This window comes from Homo sapiens, chromosome 20 (assembly GCF_000001405.40).
Source record: "Homo sapiens chromosome 20, GRCh38.p14 Primary Assembly".
Lineage (NCBI taxonomy): Eukaryota > Metazoa > Chordata > Mammalia > Primates > Hominidae > Homo > Homo sapiens.
In genome coordinates, this window is record NC_000020.11 from 59,710,934 (window position 1) to 59,730,012 (window position 19,079).

General features: G+C 44.6%; 1 protein-coding gene across 13 annotated transcripts in view, besides 1 other annotated feature; it reads left to right on the plus strand.

Annotated features, from left to right (window-relative positions):
* The window catches only part of PHACTR3 (phosphatase and actin regulator 3), a 270,203-nt gene that overhangs the window by 133,425 nt on the left and 117,699 nt on the right, over nt 1-19,079 (plus strand). For 2 of the 13 annotated variants that reach the window (NM_183244.2, NM_183246.2), the window contains exon 1: nt 10,293-10,505. The exons of the other annotated variants lie outside the window; for them this stretch is intronic. The gene's annotated coding sequence lies outside the window, so the exon portion shown is untranslated. Of the gene's footprint in view, nt 1-10,292; nt 10,506-19,079 lie in introns of those variants that run through there. 13 annotated transcript variants of the gene reach the window in all.
* Nucleotides 11,817-11,866: an enhancer, noted in NCBI's record as "active region_18189". NCBI's record gives its function as "activates an Ori minimal core promoter by ATAC-STARR-seq in GM12878 lymphoblastoid cells {active_cell/tissue: GM12878}" and the evidence as "EXISTENCE:reporter gene assay evidence [ECO:0000049][PMID:35858748]".

A 19,079-nucleotide genomic window follows, 5' to 3' on the forward strand; every position in this document is an offset into this window, starting at 1 on the left:
TATTGCACACTCATTATAGAATATTTATAAATAAAATTAAAGTCATTCCCAGTCATATCAACCAGTTAATCCCTACAAATATTTGCATATTTTCATTCATCTTTCATGTATACATATATACAGAAAATATTTATAATACTGATGCCATATTGTATATATAATTACATATCCCAATTTTAAATATAGCATGTGTCTTGAAAATTTTTTGGTATCATTAAATGTTTTTCAAATACATAATTTTCACTGGATACTTGAAATTCTGTTCTACCTCTCTTCTACAATTATGTAAACATTCCTCTTACTGTTTGGTTGTTTACATTGTTGTGCGTAAGGCTTTGTCTCTATCTCTGATTATGTATGTAGAAATATAAGTATTTTTGAACAGCGTAAACTTTTTTAAGCTCTTGACACACATTGCCAAACGTTTTCTCAGAAAGGTGGTATTTGTTTTCACTCCCATATGTACTGTAAGCTCATCTTTCCAAATCTTTTCCAATCTGATGAGTTGATTTTTAAGAAATCAACTACCAGTTTGGCAAAAATGGAAACTCATTACAGATTCCCCTCAACTTACAGTAGGGTTTTGTCCTGATAAACTCATCTTAAGTTGACAATATCATGTCAAAAATGCATTTAATATACCTAATCTACTGAACATCATAGCCTCGCCTGTCATAAATGTGCTCAAAACACTTATGTTAGCCTACATTTAGGCAAAAATCATCTACCACAGCCTATTTTATAATAAAATATCAAATATCTCATATAATTTATCAAATACTGTTTACCCCGTCAAAATTGCAATGGTTTCACGCCATTGTAAAGTTGAAAAGTGTTATGTAGAACCATCGTAAGTCAGGGATAGTCTGTATTTAATTTGTTTCTTTTGGGGTAACTTGTAGAGTTTAATTTTCTTTTTTAAGTTGTTTACTGCTATATTTTTTCTTCTGAAAACGATTGAAAACATTTGTACTCTTTTCAATGGGGTTAAGAGAAGAGGAAGATTTTGTGCTTCTTGTTCATTTTAAAGAGGTCTTTATATATTAAGGACTTTTTTTTCATTGATTGTGAATATATTCCAGAGTTCATTATTTTACTTTTTTATATGAATTTTGAATGAAAAGTTTTAAAAATTCTTATGTAATTTGGACTAGCCATTCTTTTGTTCTTGATTGGTTCTATTTCTTTTAAGCTTAAAAATTTTATCTTAACCCTGAATCAGTTTTTTTCCCTAGATTTTCTACAACTGTACTTTTCAAATTAAACTGAAATCTATCTTAGTGGGGGTATGAAAGATTTCCAGTGTGACTTTTCCCCAAATATCTGATTATGATTCTGCTATGCGTTGCATTGTTGAGAAATGCTTTTCCCATTGGCTTATGGTGCTTTTGTTCATCTTGACCTAACCTATCCCATATTTCATGTAGATGCACCCCATGATCTGAGTAATGACACTTCCACTGTGGCCATGCAGTTTTGATTATTATAGCTTTGAGATGCATTTCCAGGTCTGTTAGATACTCTTCCTTGTCATTTTTTTATACTGTGGTCCCCTCCCAGCCATAACTTTGCACACTCTCGAGAGTTCCAGTGACTGTTGCAAATGCCTTTAACTCTTCAGCTCACTGTGAACTTCTTGAGGACGGGACTCAATTTGTCCTAATCAACTACACATCCTCTGTATCATAGCCCATCATAGCATTGGCCAGATAGAATTCACTGAAAACACATTTGTTATGTTGATTGTGCAATTTCTTTCTGGTCATTTTCTGGGTGACTTGTATTTTTAGAAAACCTACAATCAGGTGTATTATTTGATTAAATTTAGGAAAGAAATATATGCTGTATTTAATTGGCTTGTGTTTCTCAGCTTCAACCCAAGTTAATTCAACTTTCAGTGTTGTTTGTAATTACCAGACATTTAGTACATTAATGAAGACTTCTTTCCAGTAGCCCATTTATATTTACTCTTGAAAAATGATTTACTTTTGATTTCAAACCAAAAACATTATCATTCTAATTTCTGGATTCTCTCATTTCTATTTTCAACCCAAAACATTCCGTTGAGATATGAAATAATATTGGATCAGCCTGGAAGGAGACCTTGGGTGAACAAAGCGAGTTTGCCTCATTTCTCACAACACGGTCTAGGGTCTGAGTTCTCATTTTGAATCAGGGTGGAGGTGGGAAAACAGCTCTCCTGGGTGCCTGTTGAATGTGTGCCTTTTTGGGCATCTGTTTACATTCATGAGGGTCCACAGAGGCCCAGAGAAATTCCAACTACTTGAGTTTTTTTTTCTATCTACATTTTAACACTTAAGTCGATTCCTGGACATATCTGGTACTTCTTGTGTTTTCTACTAGGCATAGGACATTACTTTGCACAGAGCAGGTGTTCAATAGACACGTTTCTTTTAATGTAAAAAAATTTATTGAATATGACCCTCACATAACAAAGCAGCCCAGTAGTCCCCTTGTGTACCCCCACCCAGGTATTCCCAGAGAGAACCACTGTCTTAATTTACATCGTCTTGATTAGTTTTACTTGTTTTTGAGTCTTACATAATTGGAACTGAACAATATGTAATGTTTTGTATCTGTCTTCTTTTGTTCAACATTACATTTCTAAGATTGGTCCATGTTACCGGGTTTGATAATATTTCATCATTTTCTTTGCTGTATAGTATTCCAATGTGTGAATATATTCTCAATTTATCCAATCTACTGTTAATAACATTTGTGTTATTTCTAGTATTTGGCTGTTATGAGTGATACCTCTGGTAACCTTCTTGAGCTCGTTTTTGTCTTTTGCTTTTTTTTTTTCTCCTTTTTTGGTAAAGAATTGCTGGGTCATATGGCTTGCATATGTTTGGCATTAGTAGATACTGTGAAACAGTATTCCAAAATGTTTGAACCACGGTCAACTCCCACAGCAGCATGGAAGTTCTAGTTGCTCTTTAATCTCCCCCACCCACCCTTGATACTGTCAGCTTTTTCTAAACAATTTTAGACATCATGATACTTGTATGGAAATATTGCATTGTGGTTTAATTGGTATTTCCTTGAAAACGAATGAGGTTGAGCTCCTTTTTATTTTTTCATGGCTATTTGTATGTCTTCTTTATGAAGTACCTGTTGAGTTTTTTGAAAGTTTTAAAAATTGAATTCTAGGAATTTAAAAAATATATATTCTGGATATGAGTCTTTGGTTGAAGTTCCTCAATGTGCTTTGCCTTTACATTCACTTAATTATATATTTTCAGGAAAAGAAATATTTAATTTTAATGTAGGTCCATTTAGCAATCTTTTTTCCTTTTTGTATCTTATGTAAGGAGTATTTGCCTACCCACAAACCATAAAGCTTTTCTCCTGTTTTCTTCTAGAAGTGTTATTTGTTTTGCTCTGAAATTTGGAATCAGAATTAATTTTATGTATGGTATGAGGGAGGGATCAGGAATCAATTTTCCCATATGGATATCCCATTGATCCTCCACCATTTGGTGAAAGGACCATTCTTTTCCTACTGCACAGCTGTGTTCTTTTCTCATAAATCAGTCAGTACACTGCGTGGGTCTATTTCTGGGCTCCATGTTCTGTTCCATTGGCCTGTCTGAACTTGTTCCAATAGCACATCATCATAATTGTTGGAGATTTAAAATCAGTCATGATATCTGATAGTGGAAATCCTACCACTTTGTTTTTTTTCTTCAAGATCATCTTAGTCATTCTTGGTTCTAGACATTTCTATATAAAAATTTGAATTAATTTACACACATACACATAAACCTTTTGTAAGTTGGATTGGAATTACATTGAACTTGTGGGTCAATTTAGGAACAAATAAAATCTTTAAAACATTCAGTAATTTGGTCTGTGAACATGGTATATCCCACCTTGTATTTAGGCTATTTTTCTTTTTTCTCAATAATGTATTCTATGTATAGGTCTTATGCACATCTTTGGCTAGATTTATTCTGGAGTATTTTATGCTGCTTTAATGACATTTAAGTTATCTCGTTTAAATATAATTTTCTAATTCTTTGGTTCTGGCATATAGAAATACAATTTATTTTTGTATATGGACTTCCTATGTAAGAAACTTGCTAAATTATTCTAATTAAGATTATTTTGGATTTTCTAAAAACATTTCTCTGGAGAAAAAAAGGAAAGCTTCATTTTTTCCTTTCCGATCCTTAAACATTTTATTCCTTGTTGTTCTGGTTAAAACCTCTAATACAATTTTAAATAAAGACCTTCTTGTCTCATTCCCAATCTCGGAGGGAAAGATTTGAATATTTCATCCTTAAGTATGGGTTTGCAATAGATTTTTTGTATATATTCCTCATGAAATTAAAGAAATTTCCTTTTATTCCTAATCTGCTGGCAGTTTCTAATCATAAGTGTGTTAGGAGTTTTATCAAATGCTATCTCTGTATTTGTGGAAGTGATCCTATAACTTTTCTAATTTATTCTGTTAATGTGGTGATTTCCACTGATTATTTTTAAATGTCAAGCTAATCTTGCATTTCTAGATTAAACCTAACTTGTTTTCCATGTTTTGTCTTTCTGCATTTCTCTGCCTCTGGTTTACTAATGTTTTCTTTAGGATTTCTGTATCTATGGTCACGAAAGATAGGCCTGTCATTTTCATTTCTAGTGATGCCCTTTTCTGGCTTTGGTATGAAGGTTATGCTGGCCTCTTAAAATTGATTCCCTCATGTTTTTTATTCTCTCTGACACTTGTGTAAGACTGGTATTATTTCTTCCTTGAGAGCTTGGAGGAATTTACTGTGGGGCCCATACATCCTTCATCAGATACTCAAATGTTTAGAAGAGGTGACATCCTTTACGTGAGGTTCCAAGTTAAGAAAAAAAATGTTAAAGGTAGAAGCAGAGGTGCCTGTCCATATTTTCTCCTAGTGGGAATGATTCATTTGTATATTTATTTATTCAGCAAAAAATATCCTAAATGTTTGTAGCACACCAGACACTGCAGCAGTTAAGGATACAGCAGAAGTGAAACACACATGCCTGCCTTCTAGGAGTTCACATTCTGGACCAAGGAGTGTTTTCTATTCCAGTTTGAGAGTGTGTGTCCATGCACCTGGCTGTGAGCTCTGGGTCCCTGTGTGCTGGCCCTGCCCCTCCTCTGGCTCATGGTGCTCACTCCACTCCAGGGCTCCACCCCATGTTTTCAGTCTCCACCCAGACATTGCTTCGGGACCTTCAGCAATGAGGTTCCCTGCCCCTGCTTTGCTCTTCCCTTCACCCTTTGTGTGTGTGTGTGTGTGTGTGTGTGTGTGTGTGTGTGTGTGTGTGTGTGTGTGTGTTGTGACAGAGTCTCGTTCTGTTGCCCAGGCTGGAGTGCAGTGGTGCGATCTCGATCTCAGCTCACTGCAACCTCTGCCTCCCAGGTTCAAGCGATTCTTGTGCCTCAGCCTCCCAAGAAGCTGGAATTATAGGTGTGTGCCACCATACCTGTCTAATTTTCATATTTTTACTAGAGACGGGGTTTCACCATGTTGCCCAGGCTGGTCTTGAACTCCCAACCTCAGATGATTCACACACCTCAGCCACCCAGATTACAGGCATGATCCACTGCACCCGGCCCTCTTCACTCTTCAACTGAGAGTCCTGCTCATTATTAATGTCACTTTTTTTAGAGAGGACTTTCTTGGTCCCTGGGCTAAAGGAGATTCTCCAGTCCCCTAAGCTCAGAGCCCCCATGCTCTTCTCTCCTAGCATTTACATGTTCATAATTCACACATTTATCTGTATGATTATTTTTGTTTTAATGTCATTTGTTGTCACCAAATTGCGGGCTTCATGATGAAAACAGTTGCACCTCTTCTACTCACCAATGATACTCTTGTGCCCAATGCAAAACCAGGCACACAGTAGGTGCTCAATAAATGCGCCTTGCTCTCCTTCCTTTCTAAAGGGTTCCAGAAGGCCATTAATAGGCAAAAAACGCAAGCGTGGGTGAAGGCTGAATCTATCATGCTCCCTGATGGGTCCCCATGCCCAGCACTGGGTGCTCTCTTAGTGTTAGTAAAATACATGAATGAATGAATGAGTGAATTAATGGATGGATGAAGTGCAATTGAAATTTATTATGCTCATAAACACAAAAATTAAATAGATTTACTGCATTAAGATTATTTTAAGAAGTTGTTTTATTCCTACATTCATTTTGTTTCCAACACAAACAGTACATAAAAATAATTATTTCTTGGATTCATGAAAAATTGAAAGGGCCCTTGAGTGTTTATTTAGTGTATTCTTTTTGGCAGAATTAATGATCTTAATAATGAAAACAGCACTGGGTGACTTTTTTAAATTGAAGTTTTTATTGAGATAATTGTAAATGTGCATGCAGCTATGACAAATGGCAGGGAGATATCTTGTGTACCCTTTCCTCAATTTTCCCCCAGTGCTAAACTAGAATATACACACCTAATTGGGATACTGACACGGATGAAATCCACTGAACTTATCCCACTGTCTAACTTAATTCACATTTGCAGCACTGTGCTGAGTGCTTTATCTCATTTAACTGTGACAACAGCCCTGTAAGGGGGATAGCATTATCACTCAGGTTCTAGAGCCTGGGACACCCGTGCTCAGAGAGGTGGAGCAACTCGCTCACAGCCTGGTGCATGCTCAGGGGTGGAGCTGGAATCCCCACTGGAAACCCACCCCCCAGCCCGTGTTCTTCCTGGTGCTGGCGTAAACCATGATATATAGATCTGTTCCTTGTTAGAGATCTCTAAAGAAGAAAACTACTTGCTTAACAAAAATGACTTTGCTATATAAAGGTGTGGTTTTTTTGACTATTCCTCCAGAATGGCATTTTTTAGAAGTCTGAAGTCTAAGAAAACCTCTGCAAAAATTCAAGGCACTTAAATCTTTGATGAAGCACTCAAATGTATTCATTTATCATCCAGTCTTTCAGTTTCATTGTAGACAGATTTATGTCCTTTGTGATGGTAGCTCCATGTCCTGGAATGGACCTCCCATCCAGGTTCACAGATACAGCTAAGAGGCTGGAAAAGGTCGCAAGTGGAAGGAAGCTTGGGTTTGTAGTTTCCTCACATATTCTTAGAAGCTAGGGGCTGGGGAAACCCAGAAGTTAGGTGGTCAAGGGCAAAAAGATTCTCCCTTTTCTGTCTTTCTTCCCCAAACCTTGTCACATGGAAGATTTGAAATGGCTCCCCCAGGCCTGAGTCCTGGGCAGCTGTGTCACTGTTGGTGCCCACCTCCCAGGCTGCTTGCTCTGCCCTGCTTGGAGAATGACAACTTCTTAAGTTGCCACACAGTACCCAGAGCCACCAGTTCCTCTCCTGGTTGCTGTGTGGCTGAGACTGACCCTGGATCATGAGGCATCCTGCTGCCCAGCCCATCATTTCCATCTGGTCCTGTTGGGGAGGAAGAAAATGCAGAGGCAAATGCAGATGCAGTATCTGTGGCTGGGCTCCAGCAAGACCCCTCCAAGGTCTCTGACCCCAGGGCCAGTGGTTTCACCCACCTGGACCATCTACAAGGGTCAAATCCAGTGTGTGCAGTGCCTGGAATTAGAGGAAAGAGACATGCAGGTACAGCATCGTGAAAGGCCCCTTTTGATGCTATAGAAAAAAAAAAAACCTCCAAAATAATTTTAATCATGTTCCTATCTTTGTTTATATTTCATTATGGAATGAGATCTGGTTTTGACTTATATTAAGGTGACCTGTTTGAAATTGCCAATTTTGTGGGTCGATGACAGCTGAATATTGGCAGTTTTAAATGGTTCAATCTAATGCGAGTTAAATTAAAACCTTGAGGAATATGCAACTTTTCACTTTACACGGCTCTGTTTTAAAAAGGGTGTCAACATATTTCAGCCTTGCGGAGATGGCGGCGTATGTCTATCCTGTGTTGCAAGCAGCTGTGAATGGTTGCGTCGTTTTGCTTGGCCTACGCATGGGCGTGTTGTCACCAGAAAGCGTCTCTGCTCCTCCAAGTGGTGGCAAGCCCCTCCTGAGAGCCATTCCTCATCCAGACAAGAATCCATCAGATCTTATGAAAATTTAATGTGTGAAAGTGTACAGTTGCATGAGGGTTTTTTTCTTTTAAATAAATTAGTTTGCAGCCCTTGCTAACACCAGATGAATGAATTAAGAATGCACCTCCCCCGGGGCTGTCGGGCTGCTAAACTGCATGCTGGGGCGAAATTCCCTTTCTCTTATTCTTAGCTTTTTCTTTTTTTTTGAAACAGAATCTCACTCTGTCCACCAGACTGGAGTGCAGTGGTGCGATCTCAGCTCACTATAACTTCCACCTCCCGGGTTCAAGCAATTCTCTGCCTCAGCCTCCCGAGTAGCTGGGATTACAGGCGCCTGCCACCACACCCGGCTAATTTTTGTATTTTTAGTAGAGACAGGGTTTTACCATCTTGGCCAGGCTGGTCTTGAACTCCTGACCTTGTGATCCACCCACCTCGGCCTCCCAAAGTGTTGGGATTATAGGCATGAGCCACCGCTCCCGGTCTCTTAGCTTATTCTTAAGGGGAATTTCCTACCTTTTATTTTTCTTCTTGAGAGAGTTTCAAATTTGCCAGAACCTGAAGGGTTGTTGTGCTTTCAGCCAAAAGGATGTCTCAGTAGCCTTTAGCCCACCTTCCCCCAGGGCAATGGTAGCATGGAACATGCAACCCCTAGCTTACTTGAAAGATTGGACTTGAAAAAAATCAGCAGTTCCTTCTGGAATCTGCAAGGATTGGGGAATTTGAAAGATTCAGGGGAATTAGTTCGGCTTCCCAAACTAGTTGGTTTTAGTGACCCCTTCTTCTTCCCGTTGCATCACTGGTGTGACTGATGTTAACATTATTGTTGCCCCGTTTTACAAATGATGACCCTGGAAAGGCTTGGAGGGCCCTGGGGCTGCCTAAGGTCATAGGCCAGGAAGAAATGGAGCCTGTCCGAGGGCTTGCGTCTCCTCATTCTGAAGCCCAGGCTTTCTCCATGTTTTCAAAATGCCAGCTGGTTGCATTTTGTTTTTCCAAATGATATTGTAGATGCCAGAAAGTGGGGCCTGTGTTTCCATTTCTTGGTTTTCCTGCCCTTCCAGCTCTCTCATAGGAGGCATATGATGAGCACAGGGAACAGGCATCTGTGCTGGGCAGACCTAAAACGAGGAAGGGGCACCGTGACCAGTTACCTTGCGGTGTGGCACAGTGCTATCTTGAAGACCATAACATCTCTCGAGCAGGCTAGCATATCTGGTCCGAAAAGTCGCCATTTCTTTGGGTGGGCTTGTACAAAGTGGTCCACATCTCACAGGGTGGTCTGCTGGGCTCTGCAGGCCCGTGTTGTGTCCATAATACATGATCAATAAACACAAAAGCTGCCCATCAATGAATCCAGGTGTTCACCCGGATGGGCGTGGGAAACTCAGACAGGCAGAGGCCACGGGCTCTTCTGTCTCTCAATTCCTGTCCCCTTTGCATACTGGGGGGGCACTTGCTGGGGGTAGTCCAGTAATTTTATCTCATGGTGCTCCACCAGAGACCATGGTGCTGATGGCACCTACTAAGCGCAACGCTGTGCTTGACTCTACCCTCTGAGTGTGCCCACTCAGGGCTGGTCTCCCTCATGCAGCCCGAGGCCTCCTGCCAAAGTCCACTTCAAGGGGAAGCCGAAGGTGCACACAATCCCCTACGTCTCCTTTGATCCAAGTACATCAGCTCTTCCAAATTGTGTTTGCCGTGCATTTTTTTTCCAGAATCCTCTTAAGAAGGATTTAAGAATCTTGCCAAAGTGGCCACTTCTCCTAAAAACATCTAACCCAGTCCTCGCAGATTCCAGAAGGAACTGCTGATTTTTTAATTTATCTTCAGTCATTTGCTTTCGGAAGGGAACATTTATTGTGTTGAAAATTAAAGACTTGATAAAAAATGTTTGCTTTTTGTGGTGTCCTTGAAAATCGAGTGATTTTCACCCAGGATTTCTGTAGTGGGTGTCAGGCACCGTGGATTTCTGTACTGGGTGTCAGGGACCGTGGTACACCACGGTGCTTAGAAAAATGGATGATGGAGGTGGTGCTGTGGCTGGCTAGCATTTATTAACATTGTTATTGCCAGGCACCATGTCAACCCTTTCCTATGCATTAGCTCATTTAATTCTTACAGCCACTATTTGTGGCAGGTACTAGTATTATCCCCATTGCACATGACAGGAAACGGAAGCTCAGAGAGGTTATGTAACTTGCCCAAGTTTGAACAGTTAATAAGAGCTTGCATTCAAACCCAGTCCATTCTGGCTCATGGGGCCCAAGCCTTGCTCTGCTGCCCCAGGCTGTGTAGGATGCATCTGCGGTGGCCATTCTTCTCTCCAGAGGTCCTTCCTAGGACTGACTTTGTGGAGATTCTGTGCTGGTAGGTGGCGGGGCAAGACACGCCTGTCTCTCCCCCTGGAAGGAGTCAGTCCAGCAAGAAACCTGATGAAACCAGTGACTCCCAGCTCTGGGTGAGACATGATGATGGGGCGATGGTGGGGGATGTGGCAGCACAAAGCAACTTTGTCCACTGATGTCGGGAACGCCTTTTGAAGGAAGAAAAGTGTAAGTTGTTACCCAGAGTAGAAGATGGCCAGGCCAGGAGTTGGGAAGGGGGTTCTAGAAGGCAAAGTGCGTGTAAAGTTCTTGAAACTAGAGATACCTAAGGAATCTAGATGAGGCCAGTCTGGTTGGAGCAAAGGGTGATGAGTCGGGAGGCTGGAGAGTGACAAGGACCAGATTGCGTGGGGAGGATACTGCTGCCTGGGGGCTTCCCATCCTGAGGGCGGAGGAACTTGAACACAGTAGTTATTTGCTATCAACTGAAATGTATTGAGCCCCTGCTGCTCTGTGGGCATACAATGGTTGGACAAACAGACAAAGTCCCCGTTCTCAAGGAACTTGTATTCCAACAGAAAAGAAAAGAAATACACAAGACGACGTCAAAGAGTGACAAGTGGCCCAAAGAAAGTAAAACAAGGGCCCAGTCAGGGTGACTCACGCCTGTAATCCCAGCACTTTGGGAGGCCGATGCAGGCAGATCACAAGGTCAGGAGATCGAGACCATCCTGGCTAACACAGTGAAACCCCATATCTACTAAAAAATACAGAAAAATTAGCCGGGTGTGGTGGCGGGCACCTGTGGTCCCAGCTACTCGGGAGGCTGAGGCAGGAGAATGGTGTGAACCTGGGAGGCGGAGCTTGCAGTGAGCCAAGAACATGCCACTGCACTCCAGCCTGGGCAGCAGAGTGAGACTCTGTCTCAAAAAAAAAAGTAAAACAAGGTGGCACCTCAGATTGAACTGAGGAAGGTACAGGAAGCCACTACAGTGGGTGGGCAGGGTGGGCACCTCTGTGCAGTGGGCATTCAGGGGTGAGGAGTCAGCACTGTGGCAGTGTTGGGAGAAGGTATTCCTGGCAGAGAGGGTGGCTGATTGGAAGGCCCTGAGGCAGCAACAAACAGGGCACGATCAGGGACTTCCCTGTGCAGTCAGCGTGGCTGGAATGGAGGGAGCATGATGGAGAAGGCACCAAGTGAGGCCAGAGGCTCCTCAGGGGGTTTGGATTGGATCCTTAATGGAGGGGTGGGAGGATGCCCTGGAGGGTTTCAGCACAGGACGGCAAGGCCTGCTGTGCATTGCTGGGGATCTCTTTGCTTCCATAAGGTCAGTGGACCGGGAAGTGGCCAGAATGGCAGCTGGGATGGGCAGGGGATGAGGGGGACACTCTTGCCATCATGCATGCCACACATGATGGGGAGTGGGCTTGAGGGGCAGCCATGGCGGAAGAGGAGCCCTCAGGGGTTTGGGAGAGGTTAGCAAATACTCATGCTTGTTTTGGGAGGAGCCTCTGCTCACGGTGGGGGCATGGGGGTGGTGGTGAGCACCGCAGCTTGTAAGAGGCAAGCTTGTGTGGCTGCTGGGTCCCACGTGCTATCAGATGGACTCCTATATGGTGTGCTGGGAAAGACGCCCTGTGGCTCTCAACCAGCTCAGCCTATGGCCCTGAGAGAGGATGTGGGCAGGCCCTGACCATCTTGGTTTTCTTCCCTTTTTTTCTTTTTTATTTATTTCTCTTTTTCTTTCTTTCTTTCTCTTTCTTTCTTTCTTTCTTTCTTTCTTTCTTTCTTTCTTTCTTTCTTTCTTTCTTTCTTCAGCTTTATTGAACTATAATTCACATATTATACAATTCACCCTTATACAGTTCACAGTTCTGTGGTTTTTGCTACACTCACGGGTTTGTGCAACTGCACCACAGTCTAATTTTAAAACACTTTCATCATCCCAAGAGGAAACCCCATGTCCATTAAGTGCTCCCTCCCCACTTCCCCTTTCCCTACCCCTGGCAACCGTGAATCTACTTTCTGTCTCTCTGGACACTTCATACAAATAGGATCGTACAGTGTGGGGTGTGCTGTGGCAGGGTTGTTTCACCTAACACCGTGTTTTCAAGTTCACCTGCATTGCGGCATTGCCAGTTTAGGGCTGATAGTATTCCATGATACATAGACCATACTCTCTTTATCCATTCATCCGTTGATGGGCATTTGGGTTTCTTTCCCACTTTGTGTCTATTATGAGTAGAGCTGCTGTGCATATTCACGTGCACATTTTTGTGTGGACACCTGTTTTCAGTTCTACGGGATCTACTCAGGAGTCAGATGGTTATATGGTGACCCAGTCTTCGGGGCAAGCTCAGGAGCAGAATCATCGTACGGTGACTCGGTCATTGGGGTCTACTGAGGAGTCGAATGGTCATATGGCGACTCGGTCTTTGGGCAATGGTAAGGAGTGAGAATGGTCATATGGTGACTCGGTCTCTGGGGTGTGGTCAGGAGTAGAATGTTCATGGTGACTCGGTCCTCAAGGTCTGCTCAGGAGTAGAATGGTTACATGGCGACTAGGTCTTTGTGGTCTGCTCAGGAGTAGAATCACTGTATGGTGACTCGATGTTGAATTATTTGAGGAGTTGCCAGACTCCTTCCATGTTGGCTGCCTGGTCTGCATCCTCCCCACTGTGTGTGAAGGCTCTGATTTCTCACCTCCTTGCCCACACCTTTTATTGAGCCTGAACACCTTTCACATGGTCACACCTGACCTGAGCAGCTGCCCGGCCATAGTGCCAACACATCCCTGGCCACGAGAGGTGGCGCCTGGGCTGGCCAACGTGCACCCTCAGGGTCGGGATGTGATCTAGAGCAGGGCTTCTCTCATTCTGTTCCTGCCCATGTTCATTTCAACCCCCAAAAGGACTTGAGCTCTCAGGCTTAATTTCATTTACTTAATGCATGAAGGAGGAAATGATTTCTGAGGCCAAGACCGGAGTGGTCCCCAGGGACTCCATTTCAACAGTGTATTTAAACCACCACGTGGAGGTTGCTTGCTAGGCTGGGAACTGTGATCAAAGAACTTCCAATATTTTATGTTCATAAAGGCAGTTTGAGAGTAATGTTTTTTAAAAAGGCATCTGAATGGGGAGGAATAGGATCATTGTGAGGTCCACAGTCTCTTTGCCTTTGAAGTTTGCAAGAAGCTACTGAATGAGTTCCATGCTTTGTAATACTCTGGTCTGGGCACCCTCAGGCGTGCGTGGCCGGCAGGGACCTGTAGGAATCCTCTTCACCTGGGGAGATTTGAAGCCTAGTGCATATAACCAGGGCCGTCACCCAATGCTGTGTGATCCTGGGCCAGTCAGTTAGCCTTTTGCAGTTAGCTGATCGTTTTCACCTCAGCTTGAGGCATCTCTTTCAGGAAGTTTCTCCAGTTCCAGTACACGCTCTCAAGCGACTCTCCCCCTCTCCTCAAAATGCTTACCTGCATTTTCATGATGCAGCTATGATGTGCAACATTCACTAATTGATGTCTGTGAACCCTGGTGGCTGTGTGCCAGGTAGGTATGTGCTCAGGTGTGCTGTGTGCTCAGTGAGGCTGTGAACCCACGTGGGTGTGAGCCCAGGTAAGCTGTGTGCTCAGGAAGCTGTGAGCCTAGGTGTGCTCTGTGCTTAGTGAGGCTGTGAGCCCAGGTGGGTTTGAGCTCAGGTATGTTGAGAGGAGGGTGGATGTGAGCCCAGGTGTGCTGTGTGCTCAGTGAGGCTGTGAACCCAGGTGTGCTGTGTGCTCAGTAAGGCTGTGAGCCCAGGTGGATGTGAGTTCAGTGAGGCTATGCACTCAGGTGGCTGCAAGCCCAGGTGTGCTGCGTGCTCAGTAAGGCTGTGAACCCAGGTGTGCTGTGTGCTCAGTGAGGTTGTGAGCCCAGGTGTCCTGTGTGCTCAGTGAGGTTGTGAGCCCAGGTGTCCTGTGTGCTCAGGCAGCTGTGAGTCCAGGTGGATGTGAGTTCAGTGAGGCTATGAGCTCAGGTGGGTGTGAGCCCAGGTGTGCCGTGAGCTCAGTGAGTCCAGGTGGGCTGTGTGCCCACCGAGGCTGTGAGCCCAGATCGGTATGAGCTTAGGTGGGTGTGAGCTCAGGTGGGCTGTGTGCCTTATTGAGGCTGTGAACCCAGGTGGGCTGTGAGCTCAGTGAGGACAGACACCACACCTGGTTTTGCTCATGGGTATCACCCCAGTACCTGGCCCAGAGCAGATGATTGTCTTGATTTGGGTTTTGGGGAGGTGACCCTGGAATGAGGATTTGAGAGCAAGTAATTTATAAGAAAGCTGTCCCAGGAGAAGCTGGCACCAGTGCTGGGAAAGTGGCACAGGGAGGCCAAGGAGGGGTAGTATCAGGCACAGCTGTGCAGGGGCAGTTGCAGCCTGACCCTGAGGGTACTCTGAGCATGAGTGTGTCAGAGTTTGTCTCTGCTGAGGCCAGGGGCTAGGCTACATTCTTGCCACCACCAGTCATTGGCTCTCGGCTCTGTGCAGGAGGACAGAGAGGCTGAGAGGCTGGGAGTTGGCCTGTAGGGGTGCCCTTAGGGGCAAAAGCACATGGGAGCTGGGAGGCTCCACAGCCTTGGACTGGAGGGGTGGGCAGAGCACTGACAGTATCCGCTTGGGGTCAGGCCATGTGGATCCAGTGTTCTACTCCGATCCTCTCCGACAGGCCTTCCAGAACAGGGTGTACCATGTGCTCCAGCACGAGGGAGACGTGCTTCTGATGTCAGCTATAGCAGTGCCTCCAGGGTCGATGGCACGAGCCCAGTTGACAATCCCCACAGCCAGATGCTTTGAAATATGTGATCCTTGATAAATTTTTAATTTAGGGTAATTTTAAGTTTGCATATTGCATGAGACTTTACTGCTCTTTGAAATCTGCATAAATCACAGTCATGCTGCATGTTTGGGTTGTCACTTGGCATACTGGCCAGCTTTTTGTTGGCCCCCCAATCCTACTTCTGCTAAGGGCTGGCCTGGTGTGTGTGACCAGAATGCCAGGCCCAGAAGCCACCAGCACTAAGTCAATGGGAAGTGCTTTGCTCAGTGCAGAGCTGCTGCTGCTGGAATCACTGCACCACTTATTCCCCATGACACTGGGCCTCCTCGCCACCAGGTCAAGCCAGACTCAAGACGCAGGCAAACGGAAAAATGCAGAACTGTTTGCTCCTTCTCCCTCCCTGGAAACCCCTGCTCTTATAGGTTGGCTTTGTTGGTCCAGCCCCAGCTTCTTGACTTGGTAGGGAGTTCCACAGGATGAGGACATGCTTTTTGTGTTTTTCTTTGCACTAAACTATGTGTAACATCAAATTTACCATTTCAACCCTTTTAAAGGGTACGATTCATGTGTGCCAATCATGCTAGATATAATTTGCATTTTCCTGAATATTAATTAGGGGGAACATCTTTTTTATATGCTGTTGACGGTTTGGATACCTCCTTTTGGAAGGTGTTCCCGGACTTTGCATATTTTCCACAGGGTTATTTGACTTTGTTCATTTGTGGGAGTTCTTTTGATATTCTAGAAACTGGACTATGTCCAGTTAAATATGTTACAAACATCTTTTCCTGCACTGTGTTTTGTCTTTTCATTTTACAGTGTTTTTGATTAAATTCTTAATTTAAATAACCAAAGAGTACAGTTCAGTGCTCTGTGCAGTGAGTGCAGTCACATTGTTGCAAAACCATCACTGCTGTCTAATTCCAGAACCTTTCATCACCTACAAGGAAATTGTGTGATACTCCTCATTCTCCCCTCCTCCAAGCCCCTGATAACTACGCATCTACTTTCTGTCTGTATGAATTGGTCTGTGCTGAACATTTCATGTAAATGGAATCATACGCTGTACGGACGCTATATGGACTTTTGTGGCCGGCTGTCCCCATGCAGCATCATGTTATCAGGGTCCCTCCACACTGTAGCAGGTGTCCAGGCCTCATTCCCTTTTATGGCTGGGGAATGTTCCATGGTCTGGATAGACTATACTTGATGTGTCCATTTGTCCGCTGATGGACATTTGGGCTGTTTTTGCTTTAGGTCATACTTTCTGCCTGATGTAAAAGTGCCAGTCGTGTATAAGGACTGTAGTCAGCGCCACCATGCCACAGCTTAGAGAAGGGATGGGGGAACTACTGGGTTGTCAGAGGCGCCGTTCTTGACCCTCAGAGACTTTCTGTCTCCTGGAGGAGAAGTGGCTGTGTTGGGCAGGTTTGAATCTTGAGAATTCACGGTCCCTGGGTTTGAGGCCTCGCTGTGCCACTTGATGCCATGTGACCTTGGGCAAGTCACCTCTCCCTCTGAGCCTCACTTTTCTCACCTGTTAAATGAGGTACTTATAAAGCCGAATAGCCTAATTCAAACATTTTAAGTCTGAAATGCTCTGAAATTCGAAACTTTTTTAGTGTTGACATGATGCTCAAAGAAAATATTCATCAGAACATTTTGGATTTCAAAGTTTTGGATGCTCAACTGGTAATGCAAATATTCCAAAATCAGAAGAAATCTGAAATCCGAAACACTTCTGGTCCCAAGTGTTTCGGATCAAGAATACTGCACCTGTAACACCTGCCTCCTTAGTGGTGTGATGATTGCGTGGAATGAGACATGAAAAGGGCTCAGCCCAAAATCGTCTGGCACCAAATACCCAATGGATAGGGGATTTTGTTTATTTTGTTGTTACTGTTGTTGAGGTAAAATTCATATAGCACAAAATTAACTATTTTAAAGTGTACAATTCAGTGGCATTTAGTACATTCATGATATTGGCATCTGCCACATGTGTCTAGTTCCCGAACATTGTCACATCACATCCAAAGGAGATCCCATGCCCATTCTCCCCTCCCACATCCCGCGGCAGCCACCACTCTGCCTTGTTGAGTGGTCTTCTGTGACTGGCTCCTTTCGTTTAGCACCATGATCTTGGGGGTCATCTGTGCTGCAGTGGGTGTCAGTGCTTTCTTCCTGGTAAGAGCGTAACATGGTGCAGTCATTGTGGAAAACAATTGGGTGGTTCTTGGAAATGTGAAATATAGGATTACTGTATGAGCTAGCAGCTCCACTTCCGGGTATCTAACTAAAACAACTGAAAACAGGTATTAGGGGGAAAAAAACCTGCACACGAATGTCCAATAGCAGCACTGTTGTTCACAATAGCCAGTATGTGGAGACAACCTAAATGCCCATCGACAGATCGATGGATTAACAATTTCCATACAATGGACTATTACCTTTTGTTATTATTATTATTATTATAGCTTTCTTAACTCCTATTGATTTTTTCAAAAGTGACCTCAGCTGTCATCTCTTTTCCACAAAGAGTCTTACCTGAGTCTGGAGACCATTCCTTTTTCTGACCACAGAACCCCGTCTTAATCTCTGTCCTGCCTCTTCCACTCATTAATTCATTCCCTGATTCCTTCCAAAGTATTTGTTGGGTGCCTGCTATAGACAAGGTCACTCCAGTGGGGAGGGACCGACAACACCAAGTCAGCTGAAATAACAGCACCGTGGAGGGAGTGTGTGCCATGCGGAGAATTTTGGGTTGGGTGGGAGGGTGCTTGGATGTCTCACTGTTGCTCTGATGGACCAGGAGGAGATGTTTGCAATGAAACCCAAGTGATAAGAAGGAGGCAGCTTTGCAAAGGTGGAGGAGAGCCTCCCTTGAGGGGCTGCTTACTAGGATCCGGAGGTGGGGATGAGCCTGGGGAGGCTGCAGAGAACTGTGAGGTTGGAGCTGCTCACAGGGAGAGGTCACAGGGCTTTGAGGGCCAAAGGGAGGCCTAACTCCTGTGGAAGCCACTGGAGGGTTTGAGGCAGGGTAAGGCGGGGTCAGGGGTGTATGCCATGTGACCCGAAGGGAGGGCATTGCGGGAACCTGGGAGCGATGAGGGAGACCTGGGCCGGGGGAGTCAGGGCAGGGCGGATGTAGCAAAGTCACATTGTCCTGAGTGACCATTCACTTGGCTGTCCCCGCTCCCAGGCCTCAGGACTGTGAGGGCAGGCACTGGGTCTCAGGCCCAGAGAAGATGCTCAGAAAAGGAAAAGGAGACCGGGGCACGAGTGAGCCAGTGCAGTGTGCAGAGTGAGGGGGCAGTGGGCAAAGAAATTGCATGGCCCAGATCACTCACTGGAGACCAGAGACACCTTAGTGTCCCAGGATGATGAAGAGCGAGGGGCCAGAGCTAGGGGAGTTAGTGATGCATCTGCTAGCCGGGCTGGCCCTCCCTGTGGGCACAGAGAAAGTGGTTCCTCAACAGCCATGGGTGACCTTTAAGGATGCCCACAGATGGTGCCATCTCAGGAGAAGGGTCCCAGAGGGACTGGCTCTGTCACCTGCTGTCAGCTGCTCCCGGAAAGCCCGCACTGCATGACTTGCTGGTTTGTTGGAATGGTTCCATCTTGCTGTGTCACTTCCATGACAATCACCAGAGGAACCAGGCCCAGGCAAGGGGCCTGTGATGAAGCGAGCAGCCCTGATGACATCAGAAATGCAGACAGTTCCAGACATTCAAGCATGATGTCCTTGGCTCTTGGGTGAAAATCCTCCTCGGTGTGTCAGGGAAAGTCATTGAATTCACGTTGGACCCGGACTTGGTAAATCTTCAGAAGCACGCTCTATTCTGCAGGATTTAAGCTTCAGATGGGCCTAGACTGGTATGCACAGGTAGGGACTGTGCA